Below are 16,590 nucleotides of genomic sequence, written 5' to 3' on the forward strand. Positions count from 1 at the left end.
GGAGGTGTTTCACAAGCAGGTACTGTTAACCAGCCCTGTGTTGCAAAGGGGCTAAAACCGTGCCCCAGCGATGGTAAGTCCCTTGCCCACAGTGACACAGATAGTAAGCATCAGAGTCTGTGGGGCCTGCAGAGCCCTTCCGGGCACATCTGGCTGTGCCACCCCATCCTCACGGTCACCTCGGCAGGGAGTCACTGCATCCTGCCCCACTTGACAGGTGAAGAAACTGAGGCTCAGAGGGATGTGAGGGTGACCAAGAGGGCAGTGGGAAGTCAGGAAACCTGGTCAGCTCCTTTCCCTGCCGAGCCCAGGCCCAGCCCTGGAGTCGGGGACTCTCGGGGCTCAGCATGTAGCTCTGCTGTGATCTCGCTCCCAACCAGATTGGTTTCTTTCCCCAAGATGCTTCCTCATTTTCAGAGGGGGCCAGGGAGGGGTGTGTTTACAAACCCATAAGGAAGCCAGCCCCTCAGTTTCCTTCTTGCTCACCGCCCCCTCACCCCCACCCGAGAGCAGCCCAGGAGGCTACTGGGAGGTGATAGCTGCCATTCCAGGCCGTGGCCAGCAGGAGTCAGCAGAGCAGCTTGAGAGGGTAGCCTCTGCGCAGCGGCCTGGCCACGCCTCTTCCCTGGGGATGTGGATGTTAGGCGGGCTCCCCACCTGCCCTCAGCAGCCCGCCTGTGGGAAGCTCATTCGCTCACTCGCTCATTCATTTGGTTAGCCAAAGCACATGGAGAGCCAGGCACATAGTCAACATGCTCCAAATGAATGTCTGTGACGCAGCACTCTATAAACTGTCGTTCCCGCAACTTTGGTCCCATCTACCCCTGCCATCTGTGGATGCTGTGTAGGCAGCAGCCTGCATTGAACCAGGCCTTCACTTAGGGCCTAGTGCCTAGCTGGTGCTAGGGAAAGATTTGTTCAGTAAACCCATGAGGCATCACCACCACCATTCTTCCCGAGTCCCTGGAGCTGGGAGGAAGTAGAAGGGAGGGTTCTAAATAAATGCGTGTGAGGCCCCTGCCATGTGCTGAGCCCTGCACCAGGCATTGCTGGAGGTGACCTTGTGAACTGTGGGAAACCACCGAACCTGTCCGTGCCCTCACTGCCCCAGGCTCCCAGGTGAGGTGGTGGTGTCCACACAGCCTGACAGATGGGGAAAGGGAGGTTCAGAGACATGACAGGCCCAGGGTCACACTGTGGCGACAAGATTTGGCGTTCAAGGCCAGGTGAGTGGACTGTGGGGACTCTGCTCTCACCCCCAAGCCCCAGCCGCCCCGACGACCCCTCCCTAAGCCTGCCCTACCTGGTGGCAAGCTGGATGCCGCTCAGCGTGGCAGAGCCATCGCGGCTCACGAACAGCCGGAGGTTGCTGTCTGTGGGGACACAGGAGAGGATGGAGGCTGAGCGCGGCAGGGCCAGCCCTTGGAGCAGGTGGCCTCGCCCCCACCAGCCCAGCACGGCTCACCCTCGGTGTTGCTGCCATCTGTGAAATCCTGGCTCTGCACGATCTTCTCCACGATGGCATCCGCATCGATCCGCGTGTCGTCCACCCAGGTCGGGTGGCTCTCCACCGAGTCCTTCTTCCGCCTGGGTCAGGTCGTGGGGGGACAAGTCACAACGGTCAGGGCAGTAACAGGTACAAGCACAGAACGACGACAATAATGCCAGTCAGCCGCAGCGGCGCTCAGAATGTCCCTGTGCGCTCCGTGCTGTACTTCACTGAAACCTCACATGCACAATAGGGTGCAGCTGCCATCATGAGCCGATTTTATAGACGAGGATGCCAGGCAATGAGCAGGTAAGTCAGCTTCCTAAGGCCACCTAGCAGATCGTGCTCTTGTCTGATCCACAAAACCGCAAGAGCAGCCATGAACAGAACCTGCTGCACGCCGGGCATGGCTGCACCCTTCAGGGCCATCAGCTAGTGGAATCGTCACCACCCAACCCTCTGAGGTGGGGACCTTACGGTCCCTGTGTTATAGGTAAAGAAGCGGAGGTTCAAGGCACCACCGGGAGAGGTCTGTTCTCCAGGGGGCACCAAGCAGTAGGCCTCACCTGAAAGAGCGATCGGACAGATGCAGGGGCCGGGGTGGCCGCGGCGGCTTCTCCGGGGGCCGGTGCTCCCGCTCACTGCCCTCAGGGCCCTCCACGGTCATGCCAAGGCCCCCAGAGGCGCTGCTGCTGGTGGACGTGTTGCGGCGGTGCGTCAGGTCTGAGAGGCTGGAGGAGCGCGAGTGCTCTGTGCTGTAGCCTGTCAGGGGCGACGCAGGGGAGCATCACAATGGGGGATCCCGAGGAAGGAGGAGGCCACGGGGGCAGGGCCAGGCAGCCACTCACCGGAGATCTTGGACTGCTGGCTGGCATAGCTGGAGTTGCGGGAGTGGCCAGAGTGGAACACCTCCTCAGGGCTGGACAGGTTCTGGTCGGGTTCCTCTGGCAGCCCTGGAAGGCAGGAAGGGGCAGGGGGTGAGGTGACAGGGGTCACCCAGTGCTGCTCACTGTCGCCCTTCACAACGTGCCCTCACAGAGCCTCCCATGGCAGGGCGCCATTTAACAGACTGAAAAACAGGTTCAGAGGAGCAGCAACCAGCCTGAGCCATAGGTCACCCTCCGAACCCAGGTCCCTTCATTCCACAGAGGGCACACTTGGGTGGGGTGCCCACCACAGGTCAGCGAGGAAGAAGAACGCTGAACAAAAACTGCCTCCACTACCCACAACCGCAGTGAGAGGTGCACAGCAGGGAGCAGTGCTTACTGGGGGTCTGGCCCAGTCTGGGGACAGGGGAGGCTTCTCCAAGGAGACGGCCTTAATGGCAGACCTCCAGGACACATTGCTGGAGGGAGCCAGCTAAGGCCTCAAGAGGGCAAGGGCTTTCCAGGCACAGAGAACAGCATCGGCAGAGGCCCCGAGGCTGGAAGGGGCCTGGGTCAGCGGAGTTGGAGTGGAAGGGACATGGTGAGGGCGAGCGGTCTGGCCCAAAGGGACAGGCCCACAGTCCTGTCCCAAGTCACCCATAAGCCCAACTTCAAAACAGACTTTCCTGGCACTCCCCAGCAGGAGGCAAAAGGGACTAGGTGGGACCTACCCAGGGCTCTGAGTATCCACCTGCCTTCCCGCCCAACACACCCCAGGCTGGCCTGTGACACCCCAGGCTGGCCTGTGTGCCCATCCATAACTATGTGGCTTTTCAAGTCCCCAACAGGTTCTCTGCATATGGGGGGAGGCCAGCTCCAGAGGCAAGTGGGCACTCAAGTCTCACCCTGCCTGGGGGAGGGGCCTCTTCTACTTCACACGAAGGCACCACCTGCGCTGGGGTGGCCTAGTCCCCAGACACATCTCTCTTCTGGGGAACCCCATCCAGGGGCTGGAGAGAGTAATTGTGCTGGGAAGCCCCCAGCTTTCTGTTCTGGGCCTCAGCTAGCTGGGTCTGCAGTGGAAAAGGGAGTGGAGGGAAGCTGGGCCCTTGAGGTCAGAGGGTCTCTCACTGCTCTCAGTTCCCAGAGGCAGAATCACTCGGCAAGCATCTGCTGGGCCACATGAGGCCTGTGCTCTAACTGATTCTGTGGGACAAATCAGGGTTGTCACGTGACACCTTGTTCACTAATCAGCCTGGAGGCAGTCCAAGGCTCATACCTCTGGGGGCCCTGCTTAGGGTTGAGGGGGCCCAGCAAACACTTGGGGGCAGGCCAGAGCCTCCTGTCCTGGCAACACCCCCTCCTCCTAATTGCCACACCATCTCCTCTGGGGGTTGGGGCTCGTTCACATTTTTCATAACATTAGTACCAGTGATAATTTAATAAAAACAGAGTGCCCAGCCGGGCGCGGTGGCTCACGCCTGTAATCCCAGCACTTTGGGAAGCCAAGGCAGACAGATCACGAGGTCAGGAGACTGAGACCATCCTGGCAACCATCCTGGCTGATATGGTGAAATCCAGTCTCTACTAAAAATACAAAAAAAAAAAAAAAAAAAAGGTATATCTGGGCATGGTGGCGCTCGCCTGTAGTCCCAGCTACTCGGGAGGCTGAGGCAGGAGAAATGCTTGAACCTGGGAGGCAGAGGTTGCAGTGAGGTGAGATTGCGCCACTGCACTCCAGCCTAGCGACAGAGCAAGACTCTGTCTAAAAAAACATAAACAAAAAACAGAGTGCCCACTAAGTGCTTACCATGTGCTGGGCAGGTGCCCACATGTGGACAGTTAATCCCCAAAGTGACCTGGGATGTAATTGCTATTACCAATCCCATTTTCCAAAGAACACTGAGACAGAGAGACGCAAACTGGCCAGTCAAAGTCATAGAGTATGTGGGAGAGCAAGAGCTCCCAGCACGTCCCTCTGCCAGGTATACTGTGCCTCACCCCCTGAATGCAGCTCAGATACTACATCCTCAGGGAAGCCTTCCCTGGCCCCAGATGGATCCCACCTTCTGGGCCTGTCTTCCCCAGCTTTTATCCTGTTTGCAGGTAGACATGCATTTATCTATGGCTTGATTGAGGCCTGTTTCTTCTGCTAGACTGCAGGGCCTTGAGGATGGGGAGGCCACATCAGTCTCAGTCCAAGGCACAGCTGTGATCTCAGGGCCCAGCACCACAGCCAGCACGCACAAGGTGATCAGGTCTCATCAGCCCAGCAGGAGCATGCAAACACCCTCCCACCATCACTCTCCCCTCAGTCAGCGTCTCCCTGGGGACCTGGGCATGACATGGAGGTAAACCCCTCGGGCCGCTAGCAGGGGAGGGGCGGACAGATGAGGAACTGTACCTGAGCTGAGAATAGTGGGCCGAGCCTTGGGGGGCCGGGACCCAGTCAGGGAGTTGGTGCTGCTGCCCCCACTGCTGGTCCCACCACCCTTACACGTCAGCTGCAGGGAGGAATCCTGGCCTGGGATGGAGATGGACTTGGCAGTCGATGGTGGCCTTGGGAAGACAGACAGGTGTGACTAGGGTGCCCTGCTTCAGGACCAGATGAAAACAGAGGACACCCAGAGTCCCTGTTCCTCCACCCCTAGTGCCCGGGACTGGGCTCCCATCCGCTCCCTAGGCCTGTGCCAGCACTCACGTCTTGAAGCAGGGATCTCCAGAGAGCAGGAACATACCAATGGTGACCTGTGGCGAGGGGAGCAATCAGCTATGCCCTGACCACCCACAGCCTGCCCAGGCGCAGGGCCCCCTGCAGCCTTTCGGCTCTGGCCTCAGAAGGGCTTGGATTCCAATCCTGTCTCTCTGCCCCCTCCTGGCTTGGGGGCTCTGGCAAAGCCACTAACCTCTCTGAGCCCAGTTTCCCTGTGTGGAGGACAGAGATGGAACCAAGGCCTGCCTGGCAGACCAGAGGGGAGGGCATAGCAAGGTGAGGCCTGGGCTCAGCCCTGCGCCTGGCAGAGTGAGCGGACTGCCATCAGCTACAGGCCTAGACAATGAGCTTCTCCATGGTGAAGCCACACACTCACCCCGGCCCTGTGTAAGGACCACAGAGCTCAACCCAGCAGGCAGGAGAGGGAAGAGGGCTCATGGGGCCTGGCACAGCAGGTGGTGGGCAGGGTTTGGTGAAAGTCTGATGAAAAAGCATGAAGCCATTGCAAACTAACAACAGCCCAAATGTGGCAAGATTTGGGCCCTAAAATCTAGGCTGAGATGGAGTGACAGGCAGAGATGAGCAAGTGGAAAAGAGGAGCACAGATCCTGACGTCACCACTTATGAAAGGGTGACCACTCCGTTGAGGCTTTCGGCCGGGTGCCGTGGCTCACGCCTGTAATCCCAGCACTTTGGGAGGCCAAGGCGGGCAGATCACGAGGTCAGGGGCTCGAGACCATCCTGGCTAACACGGTGAAACCCCATCTCTACTAAAAATACAAAAATTAGCCGGGCGTGGTGGCGGGCACCTGTAGTCCCAGCTACTCGGGAGGCTGAGGCAAGAGAATGGCATGAACCTGGGAGGTGGAGCTTGCAGTGAGCTGAGATTGTGCCACTGCACTCCAGCCTGGGTGACAGCGAGACTCTGTCTCAAAAAAAAAAAAAAAAAAAAAGAAAGGGTGACCACTAGGTTGAGGCTTTCTATGGCTTATTCACTCGGCCATGAAAGCATCCTAGCTAGCCCAAGGCTGTTGATGAGGGAACCAAGACTCAGAGAGGGGAAGTGACTCCCAAGACCTTGCAGACAGGATGTGGGGGAGCTTCCCTTGAACCCAAGGCTACCTGGCCCCCAGGCTCCCTTGATCTGGCCTGAGGTGCACAGGGCTACTGTGCCTGTGCTTTTCAGCCTGACTGAGGCTGAAAGGCTCCAGCTCCCAAGACAATCAGCCTGGACCCTTTCTGGCATCTCCGGTTCCCTCTGCAAAGGGTCTAGGAGGCCCCAGAGCCCCTGCTCACCACCTCCTGCCCAGCTCTGCTCCAGATACCATAGGCTCTCCCTGGGTCCCCTTGCAGAGGCGCTGTTAGGACAGCCTGTTTTCCCGGCCAGGTGAAAGGTGTGGAAACAGAGGAAGAGAGGTGTGCTGGTGACGGACACCCAGACATTTCTGTTCCCAAAAGGCCAACGAGGCAGCTGCCTGGGGGTGGGGCTGCCCTGTCCACTGGAAACCTGCCCCCGGGGCCCTCAGCAGCCATCATTTTCACTGATAATCCACTGGGGGCCAGGCTACCACGTGTCACTTGGGGAAGAGTTAGGAGCTGGGCCAAGAAGTCAACTGGCTGGTGGTCAGGTGCCAGCTCTGTCTGTGACTTCAGGCAAATGACTTAACGTCTGTGCCTTAACTCCCTCCCATTTGAAGCTGGGACTAATCAAAGATACCACAGCTCGTGGGGCTGCTGTCAGGGGACCACAAGAGAAGAGAGGGCATGCAATCAGCATGACGTGAACCCACTGCAGGTGCTTGCCAAACCCTGGAGACTGTCAGGGCCCCCTCTCTGAACTTGATGGGGAAACTGAGGCCAACAGCGGAGCCAGGCCTCCCTCTGATAGTGGTTTCCTGATTCCAGGGCTCGCCCCTTCCCGATGTCTACCTATTCAGGTAAGGCCTGTATTTTTAACAACCCTCCTCCAGAGGATTCTGATGAGCAGCCTGGTTTGTCCCCATCCCGTGGTCAGGGTGGCAGAGGTGGCAGGATCCCTGGTACCTTAAGGATGGAGTTGTCCTGGCGAGTGTTCTTCGTGTCATATCCCTCGAGCAGGCAGCAGCGCACCGTGGAGCCCGAGCCCGCAAACTCGGCCAGGTTCAAGTCAGCGAAGCCCAGCTAGGAGGTGAGAGGAGCGTGTGGGAGGGCTGAGGGAGTGTGGGCTCCTGGCTGGCGGAAGCCCAGAAGGGTAACTTGGCAAAAGTTGGAGAGGGAGACAGATAAAGCCCCTGGGCCAGCCCCACAGCCTCGACTGACTGTTGCATAACTGGGACCCAAGGACAGAGGCCCCGGGTCGGCAGCACCAACATGGCAAAGCCAGGAACTCACATCCCTGAGCTGCACAAAGCACCCTTTGTGCCACGTCCCGGCGTGCACCGGGGCCAGTGCGCCTGACATGAAAGGACATTGTTGTCCGTGACACAGATGCATTGTTCCCTGGGAAACAAGGCCGTGCTGTCGGGAGCTGCCGGGTCAGCAGGCAGGGGAGGAGGGAAGGCCTGTGGGAAGTGGGTGCTGGGGAAAGTGATGGGACACCCCCACAGGGGTTGGGAGGGGAGGGGCACTGCAGGATGAGCAGGAGCCCCAGGGAAGGCGCCCTGGTAGAGGACAGAGTGAGGGGCTGCTGGGCAGAGTTCAGGGTCTGAACAGGCCCTTGGGACCTCTGGACAGAGGATCGAGGGATGGGGAGGGAAGTGGGAGTAAGTGCGAAGAGGGCATGCGCTAAGAAGGCCCTGTGGATGGAGGCCAAGTCTGCTAGACCTGGAGGGGAAAGTGAGATTGAGACGAGGTGGTGCCAGACTTGGGGACTTGGAAGACATCTCCGGTTCCCTCTGCAAAGGGTCTAGGAGGCCCCAGAGCCTCTGCTTACCACCTCCTGCCCAGCTCTGCTCCAGATACAACAGGCTCAGAAGAGATAGATAATGAAATGTTTGAACCAATGTTTGAACCCAACCGAACCAATCAGGGATGAGTGTCAAGTAACTGCTGCCTGCAAGTCTCTACTGCAGTGTTCAGGGCACACACTCCAGAATCAGGGAATTGGATTCAGATCCTAGCCCCGCCATGGACTCAGAGTGATCCCCATTTTATAGATGAGAAAACTAAGTTCACAGAGGCCGGGCGCGGTGGCACGCCTGTAATCCCAGCACTTTGGGAGGCCAAGGCAGGCGGATCACGAGGTCAGGAGATCGAGACCATCCTGGCGAACACGGTGAAACCCCGTCTCTACTAAAAATACAAAAAAAATTAGCCGGGCGAGGTGGCGGGCACCTGTAGTCCCAGCTACTCAGGAGGCTGAGGCAGGAGAATGGCGTGAACCCGGGAGGCGGAGCTTGTAGTGAGCCGAGATCGCGCCACTGCACTCCAGCCTGGGCGACAGCGAGACTCCATCTCAAAAAAAAAAAAAAAAAGAAAAGAAAAGAAAACTAAGTTCAGGGAGGGGAAGAAGCTTGCCCAGGGCCAAACAGCTAACCCAACAGAGACAGGACTGAAACTAGGCCTGATCAGCACCACGTCCAGCCACTTCTCAGGGCCTCAGTTTCCTCCTCTGTATAATGGGAGTAAAGCCTGCAGTGGGAGTTCAATTACAGAACAGAAGGGAAGGGGCCTGGCAGTGCCTGCCATGTGCTGGGTGCCTGGTAAATGTTTGCCAGTGGAGGTGAGATGCTCCCAGGTGTTTGCTGGTAATTCCTTTCCTGGCTGCACAGCTGTCCTCACCCGTGTGAATCAGAGAAATTTCCACTGTGACAGCACCCTCCACAGCCTGGTTCTAGCCATACTGTCCTCTGCTTCTGGAGAGGGACGTCAGCGCCCCGGGCCAGGGCAGAGTGCACTGCCCAGCCGGCTGAGTTCCTGAGCTCTGGTCAGTGGGAAGGGCCACGCCCTGTATAGCGCCTCCCTCGGGTGAGAGGTGAGGCGAAGGCATTTCCCCTCCCGGCTGATGAAGCCCACCCTCCTGCCACTGGGCTAAGCCTCAGGAGCTGAGGAGGGGAGGCCAAGAGTCCACCATGGAGAAGAGGGATGGAAGGCAGAGCAGGCTTATTCAAAGCCAGAGCTGTCTTCTCCCTCTTTGCCCAGTAGAAAAGCTCTTAATACTATGTAGGGCTGAACTGTCTGTGGGTACAGTGAAACCCTGGTAACAATGCACATGTCCAGCAGCAGGGCTGGCTGAGTCAACCATCGCCAGCCATGCCACGGGACACTGCTGCCATTAGAAAGCACATGGAAATTTGTGATAACACAAAAAGATGCCCAGAATGGATTAAGTAAAAAACCAAGCTGCAAATCTGTTTATTTATTTATTTATCTGGAGGCAGAGTCTCGCTCTGTCACCCAGGCTGGAGTGCAGTGGCGCAATCTCGGCTCTCTGTAACCTCCACCCTCCCGGGTGCAAGCAATTCTTGTGCCCCAGCCTCCCGAGTAGCTGGGATTACAGGCATGCACCACCACACCTGGTTAATTTTTTTTGTATCTGTAGTAGAGACGGGGTTTTGTCGTATTGCCAAAGCTGGTCTTGAACTCCTGAGCTCAGGCAATTCGCTTGCCTCAGTCTCCCAAAGTGCCAGGATTATAGGCGTGAGCCACCATGCCCAGCCGTACTCGGGAGGCTGAGGGAGGAGAATTGTTTGAACCTAGGAGGAGAAGGTTGCAGTGAGCGAAGATTGTGCCATTGCACTCCAGCCTGGGCAACAGAGCAAGACTCTGTCTCCAGAGGAAAAAAAAAATCATATTGTTTGCATGCACTTCAGTACACACAGAGGGTGCTCATTTTGCATTTCTTTAAACCACACGCATACATTTTATTTGCTGCTCTCTTTGTATGGTATATTTCCTTTTTTTCTTCTTACAAGGTCTGGAAAGGTCTTAATCTATCCAATAATGGGGTCCCAGAAAGAGGCCTGGAGAGAGGAAAGGGGACAGAAACTGGCCCTTTTGCTCTGTGGACTTCTGTACCATTTATATTGCAACAACCATATGCTGCCTTTATATTGAGTGCAAAGACCATCAATAAAGATATTTCTAAAAAATAACACATCTCAGGTAGGGCTGAGTGCCTCTTGCTTGTGGCAGAAAAGGGGCTGGAGGCTTCCCTTGTGCCTGTCCCATGCCACCCCCCATTCCATCCCACTGCCCCTTCACACAGCCCCTCTTACCTTGGAATAAGCCTTCCCGCCTTTCAGCTCCTGCACAGGGAGGGAGACACAAGCAGCAAGTTGACTGCAGAATCCCAGGGACCTCATGCATCTCCCACAATCCCCCCAGATCTGAGGGGAGGAGGGCAACGGGCAGAGCAACTCACCCCATTTTCAGCTGGGGGTGCGGACTCATGAGGGGAGGGGCCTATAGCCCAGCCCAGCAGCCCCACATGCGCCCTTGGCCTCACCTTGCGCACAGACACACGGAAGACACAGGGGTCCAGCAGGCCGGTGGCCGGGTTAGCACTCATCTTACACACGAAGGTGAACCTCTTTCGCCACCGCACACAGTTCTCCTGTACCTCCTCCCTGTGGGCCAGAGGCGACAGGTGAGCACAGGCACACACATCCGCGCCAGGGGACTCCATGTGGTACCAGGGACATGGCACTCCCCATTGGGACTGAGGCGGTGGGAAGCTCCACTTTCACTCTGTGTCACAAAATAGCTGTGTTTTCACCACAAGAATGTACTCGTGTAGTTGTTGTAAAAACAACAGTGAAAACGTAATAAAAATGAGACAAACACAAGGCAGGGGTGAGGTGAGCTAGGGCAGCTGTCCCTCCCCAGGAAGCCTGGCAACCTGCAGAGCCTCCCTCTGTACCCAGTGCTGCTCCCGCCACCTTGCTCTGAGACCTTGGGCAGTTCCCTGCACTGCCATTACCTCCTCCAAAGCCAGGCTCTGCCAACCGCCTCATGACCCTCACAATAGTCTTAGGCTGGACTACTCAGCCCATTTCAAAGATGAAGAGACCGAGGCTAGGCAAGCTGCCCCACACCTCCCAGCCAGTAGATAGCTGAGCTGGGCCTGAAGCCTGGTTCCTCCTGACTCCAGAGCTGCCTTCTTCATCACTAATAACAACAATGACAATAGTAACAACAGCTGATACCCACACAGTGATTCCCATGTGCCAGGCACTGTTCAAAGAACTTCACAAGAGCCAGCAGGCCCTGGAGCCTGCTCCAAGTGCCAGAGAAAGGTGGTCATGCCAAACCTTTCCAACCTCTGTATGGAGCAGCCACATCATCAGCTCAATCCCCAGTCAAAGAAACTGGGGGCCCGGAGGCTAAGACCCTCACCTGAGGCCCACCACAGGTAAGAGCAGAATGGGGATTAACCCAAGCAGTTGGACTCTGGGTGCGGAGACAGCGACCTGGGGGCTTCAGCTTCACCAACACTAAGCAGAGGGCTCTGGTCTTCTAGCCCCCCGGTTCCTCCTGAGTTGGAGAGCATGACCATGCTGAAAAATTCAGCACCCCTCTACTGGAGAGATGCTTTGTGCCCTGGGAGTGAGTGGGAGCCAGTGGCAGCAGCTCATCCAAGCCCCTCCCAACTGCTGCGGGGGCCTTGGCAGGATCTGGGGGTGGCAGCGGCACGTGGCAGAACCGAGCTCTGCATCCCCGAGCAGCTCCCCATCTCCATACAGCCTGCCTGGCAGAGCCCGTGCTCAGGAAGGGGTGGCCAGGGAAGGGAGGAGACAGTGTGAGAGACGTTATCTCCAGCTCATCCCACCTAAGCACAACCGCCAAGGGGACAGCTAAGGAAGTGACCCGAGGAGAGTGGGTTAACTGCCAGATCGAGGCCTCAGGGCAGAGGGTCGGAGAGGGCCGCAGCCAAGCCTCCCCTGAGCATCGCCAGGTTTGCTTTGCATGGCAGTCTTGCAAGGTGGGCTCTATGCCACCCCTTCTACTGCTGAGGGCACTGAAGCTCCAAAAGAAGGCCACCCTACCCGCCACTCGAGCTCATATCCCCAGTGATTGGCAAAGCAGGATTTAAACCCAGGACTGTATGACTTCAGAGTCAGGGCTCTCAGTCGCCACTTTGGCTCAGGAGCCCGGGAAAGCCTGGCGAGGAGAACCTGTGGTGTTGTGGGGCCTGTAGTACCCTGCTCTGCCCCAAGGCACCGCCCAGGTCTCTGAGTGCCAAGCAGGTGCTGGGATGAGCCACTGCAGACTGTATTTACCCAGTGATGACTCATTGTCACCAGGAGAGGGCGGGGGAACAGATGAATCAGGGAAGGTGACATTCAAGCTCAGGATAGAATGAGCCTGGGGAGTAGCCAGGTGGAGGAGACAGTTCCAAAGAGAGGAAACAGCATGAATGAGGGAGTCCCGTTTCCTTAGCCAATGAAAGCCCCTAAGCCTCACTTTCTATGAGGAGCCCCCTCCAGGCTCCACAAGGCTTTGAGGATGTGACCAAGGCTTACCCTGTGCTCCTGCCAAGGCGGTGACAAGGGTCAAGAGGGCAGGCAGACCTGGGCCACACCCTGCACACTCACTGGGGCACACCGCCCCTGTCGTGGCTGCTGTTGTGGGAGCACTGAGTGAAATGAATCCTGCAAAGTGCCTGGCCCGGTGAAGGCTCTGTGATGTCACCAGAATGCACCTAGCTTGTTAGGAGGGTGAGCTCCAACAACCCTCTGCAACCAAGACTGGGGACAAGCAGAAAGGTCAGGGCTGAAGACGGGAGGAAGGGACAGATCTAATCCCTATAGGCAGGTGCCACAGGAGTGGGGGCCCTAGGCTGGGGGCATCACTTGAGCCTAGTCATGCTGGCTCCACTTATTCATTCATTCATCATCAAACAACTGAGCACCAGTGTGTGCCAGGCCCTGTTCTAGGCACTCGAACCACAGCAGTAACCAGCTTACATTCTGGTGGGAGGAGAAAGAAGAAGACCAAATAAATAAGAAAAATACCTAGTAGTGGAAAGGAAGAACTAAAACTATATTAACAGATGACTTGATCTTTTATACAGAAAACACTTAAGGAATCCACTAAAAAACTATTTTGTTTTATTTATTTATTTTTTTGAGATGGAGTTTCGCTCTCGTTGCCCAGGCTGGAGTGCAAGGGCATAAACTCAGCTCACTGCAACCTCTGCCTCCCGGGTTCAAGCAATTCTCCTGCCTCAGCCTCCTGAGTAGCTGGGATTACAGGTGCCCACCACCAAGCTCGACTAATTTTTCTATTTTTGGTAGAGACGGGGTTTCACTGTGTTGGCCGGGCTGGTCTTGAACTCCTGACCTCAGGTGATCTGCCCCCCTTGGCCTCCCAAAGTGCTGGGATTACAGGCGTGAGCCACCACACCCGGCCATTATTATTATTATTATTATTTGAGACAGAGTCTCACTCTATGGCCCAGGCTGGAGTGCAGTGGCACGATCTCGGCTCACTGCAACCTCCACCTGCTGGGTTCAAGTGATTCTCGTGCCTCAGACTCCTAAGTAGCTGGGATTACAGGCATGTACCACAACACCTGGCTAATTTTTGTGTTTTTAGTAAAGATGAGGTTTTGCCATTTTGGCCAGGCTGGTCTCGAACTCCTGGCCTCAAGTGATCCATCTGCCATGGCATCCCAAAGTGCTGGATTACAGGCATGGGCCACAATGCCTGGCCTCATACATGATTACAGGTGTGGTGGCTCATGTATGTAATCCTAGCACTTTGGGAGGCCGAGGCGGGCATGGATCACTTGAGGTCAGGTAGCTATAGTTCCAGCTACTCAGGAGGTTTAGATGGGAGAATCTCTTCAACCCAGGAGGCAGAAGTTGCAGTGAGCCAAGATCAAACCACTGTACTCCAGCCTGGGCAACAGAGTGAGACCTTGTCTCAAAACAAACAAAGAACAAAAATAAAAAATAAAAATGCATGAGTTCAGAAAAGTTGCAGGATACAAGATCAATATACAAAAATCAATTCTTTCTATATATTGGCAAACACAGTGAAAAGAAGAAAGCAATTCCACGTACAATAGCATCAAAAAGAAAAAAATACATAGGAATAAATTTAATAAAGTACAAAATACATACTCCGGAAACTACAAAACATTGCTGAAAGACATTAAATATCTAAATAAATGGAAAGACATCCCATGTTCATGGATCGGAAGACATGTTGTTAAGATGATACTCCCAAATAGTTCTAAAATTCATCACAATCCCTATCAAAGCCCCACGCTGGCTTCTTGGCAGAACTTTGACAAGCTGATCCTAAACTTTACATGGAAATCCAAGGGACCAGAATAGTCAACATAATCTTTAAAAAGTAAAACATCATTTAAAAATTCACGCTTTTGATTTCAAAATATCTACAAAGTTATAATAATCAAGAAAAGGTGGTCCTAGCATTAGGACAGACACAAATGGAATACAACTGAGATTATCCAGTTTACAAAGGTTTAGAAATAAACCTTAGAGACCAGCCTGGCCAACATGGCAAAACCCCATCTCTACTAAAAATACAAAAATTAGCTAGGCATGATGGCATGTGCCTGTGATCCCAGCTACTTGGGAGGCTGAGGCACAAGACTCACTTGAACCCAGGAGGCGGAGGTTGCAGTGAGCCAAGACGGCACTACTGCAACTCCAGCCTGGGCGACAGAGGGAGACTGTTTCAGAAAAAAGAAACCAACCTTCACTTTTATGGTCAATTGATTTTTGACAACAGTGCCAAAATAATTCAGTGGGAAAAAGAATAGTCTTTTCAACAAATGTTTCTGGGACACTGGATATCAACATGCAGGAGAATGAAGTGCGTGTGTGAGGGGGGTGGTGCACAGGGCTATCTCATGCTATATACAAAAATTAACTGAAAATGGATCAAAGATCTAAGTGTAAGAGCTAAACTATAAAATGTTGGAAAAAAGCATATGGGTAAATCTTCATGACCTTGGATTAGGCAACTATTTCCTGGATATAATACCAGAAGTACATGTGATAAAAGAAAAATATAGATATATTGAATGTCATCAAAATTAAAAACTTTTAGTGGGGCACAGTGGCTCACACCTGTAATCCCAGCACTTTCGGAGGCCAAGGTGGGAGGATCACTTGAGGCCAGAAGTTTGAGACCAACCTGGGCAACACAACAAGACCCCATCTCTACAGAAAATTTTAAAATTAGCCAGGAGTGGTGGTGCATGCCTGTAGTCCCAGCTACTTGGGAGGCTGAGGCAAGAGGATGACCTGAGCCTAGGAGTTTGAGGTTACAGTGAGCTGTGATTACACCACTGCACCCCAGCCTGGGTGACACAGTGAAACCCTATCTTAAAAAAAAAAGAAAAAACAAAACAAACAAACAAAAAACCTTTTGCACTCCAAAGGACATCATCAAAAAAGTGAAAAGACAAACCACAAAATAAGAAAAAATACTTGCAAATCAGATATATGAGGGACTGGTATCCAGAATATATAAAGAGCACCCACAACTCAATAAAAAGACAAAAATCCAATTAAAAATGGGCAAAGGATCCAAATAGACATTTCTCCAAAGAACATACACAAGTGGTCAACAAGCACACAGGAAGATGCTCAACATCATTAGCTATTAGGGAAATGAAAATCAAAACTAAAATGAGATACTACTTCACACCCACTAGGATGGCTAGAATCAAAGGCGAAGATGTGGAGAAAGTGGAACCCTCATACACTGCTGGTAGGAATGTAAAATGGTGCAGCCCCTTTGGAAAACAGTATGGCAATTCCCCAAAAGGTGAAACACAGAGTTATGATATGACCCAGCAATTTCACCCCTAGGTATATATCCCAGAGAAATGAAATGTGTCCACACAAAAACTTGTACACAAATGTACATCACAGAATTATTCATAACCAAAAAGTGAAAGCAACCCAAATGTCCATCAACTGGTAAATGGACAAATAAAATGTGTTCTATGCATACAATGGTGTATCATTCAGCAATAAAGAGAAATGATACACTTCTAACTGGGGAATAACCTTGAAAACATGAAGCTAAATCAAAGCAGCCAGCCAGAAAGAACTATAGAGTTGATTATCTCATTTATATGAAATGTCCAGAATAGGCAAATCCATAGTGACAGGAACTAGATTGGTGGCTGCCAGGGATGGAGGATGATATGGTCTGGCTCTGTGTCCTCACCCAAATCTCATCTCAAATTGTGATCCCCACATGTCAAGGGAAGGGCCTGGGGGGAGGTGATTGGATCATGGGGGTGGTTTCCCCGATGCTGTTAACATGAGTGAGTGAGTTCTCATGAGATCTGATGGTTTTATAAGGGGCTCTTTCCCCTTTGCTGCTGCTTCTGTCTCCTGCTGCCATGTGAAGAAGGTCCTCGCTTCCCCTTCGCCTTCTGCCATGATTTTAAGTTTCCTGAGGCCTCGGCACCCATGTGGGACTGTGAGTCAATTAAACTTCTTTCCTTTGTAAATTACCCAGTCTTCGGTATTTCTTTATGGCAGTGTGAGAACAGACTAATACAGGGGACTTGAGGGGAAAAGGAGTAACTGCTAATGGGTTTGGGATTT

At 53.9% G+C, this 16,590-nt stretch overlaps 1 protein-coding gene across 2 annotated transcripts in view, besides 3 other annotated features; it reads right to left on the minus strand.

Moving 5' to 3' along the window:
• Nucleotides 1-16,590, minus strand: part of EEIG1 (estrogen-induced osteoclastogenesis regulator 1) — a 40,408-nt gene that overhangs the window by 2,730 nt on the left and 21,088 nt on the right. Inside the window, exons 2-10 of one of the 2 annotated variants that reach the window (NM_001035254.3) lie at nt 10,494-10,614; nt 10,264-10,293; nt 7,112-7,228; nt 5,057-5,103; nt 4,760-4,914; nt 2,338-2,442; nt 2,056-2,251; nt 1,466-1,587; nt 1,304-1,373 (exon numbers count right to left, since the gene is read on the minus strand). In NM_001035254.3, the coding sequence (NP_001030331.1) occupies nt 1,304-1,373; nt 1,466-1,587; nt 2,056-2,251; nt 2,338-2,442; nt 4,760-4,914; nt 5,057-5,103; nt 7,112-7,228; nt 10,264-10,293; nt 10,494-10,614 (963 nt within the window). Of the gene's footprint in view, nt 1-1,303; nt 1,374-1,465; nt 1,588-2,055; nt 2,252-2,337; nt 2,443-4,759; nt 4,915-5,056; nt 5,104-7,111; nt 7,379-10,263; nt 10,294-10,493; nt 10,615-16,590 lie in introns of those variants that run through there. The other variant, NM_203305.3, reaches the window with a different exon arrangement.
• Nucleotides 2,732-3,232: an enhancer, noted in NCBI's record as "H3K4me1 hESC enhancer chr9:130708322-130708822 (GRCh37/hg19 assembly coordinates)". NCBI's record gives its function as "activates a minimal SCP1, AML or CMV promoter by ChIP-STARR-seq in primed H9 embryonic stem cells {active_cell/tissue: H9 hESC(primed)}" and the evidence as "EXISTENCE:reporter gene assay evidence [ECO:0000049][PMID:30033119]".
• Nucleotides 3,233-3,733: an enhancer, noted in NCBI's record as "H3K4me1 hESC enhancer chr9:130708823-130709323 (GRCh37/hg19 assembly coordinates)". NCBI's record gives its function as "activates a minimal SCP1, AML or CMV promoter by ChIP-STARR-seq in primed H9 embryonic stem cells {active_cell/tissue: H9 hESC(primed)}" and the evidence as "EXISTENCE:reporter gene assay evidence [ECO:0000049][PMID:30033119]".
• Nucleotides 12,208-13,174: an enhancer, noted in NCBI's record as "H3K27ac-H3K4me1 hESC enhancer chr9:130717798-130718764 (GRCh37/hg19 assembly coordinates)". NCBI's record gives its function as "activates a minimal SCP1, AML or CMV promoter by ChIP-STARR-seq in naive H9 embryonic stem cells {active_cell/tissue: H9 hESC(naive)}" and the evidence as "EXISTENCE:reporter gene assay evidence [ECO:0000049][PMID:30033119]".

This window comes from Homo sapiens, chromosome 9, assembly GCF_000001405.40.
Source record: "Homo sapiens chromosome 9, GRCh38.p14 Primary Assembly".
NCBI classification, from domain to species: domain Eukaryota; kingdom Metazoa; phylum Chordata; class Mammalia; order Primates; family Hominidae; genus Homo; species Homo sapiens.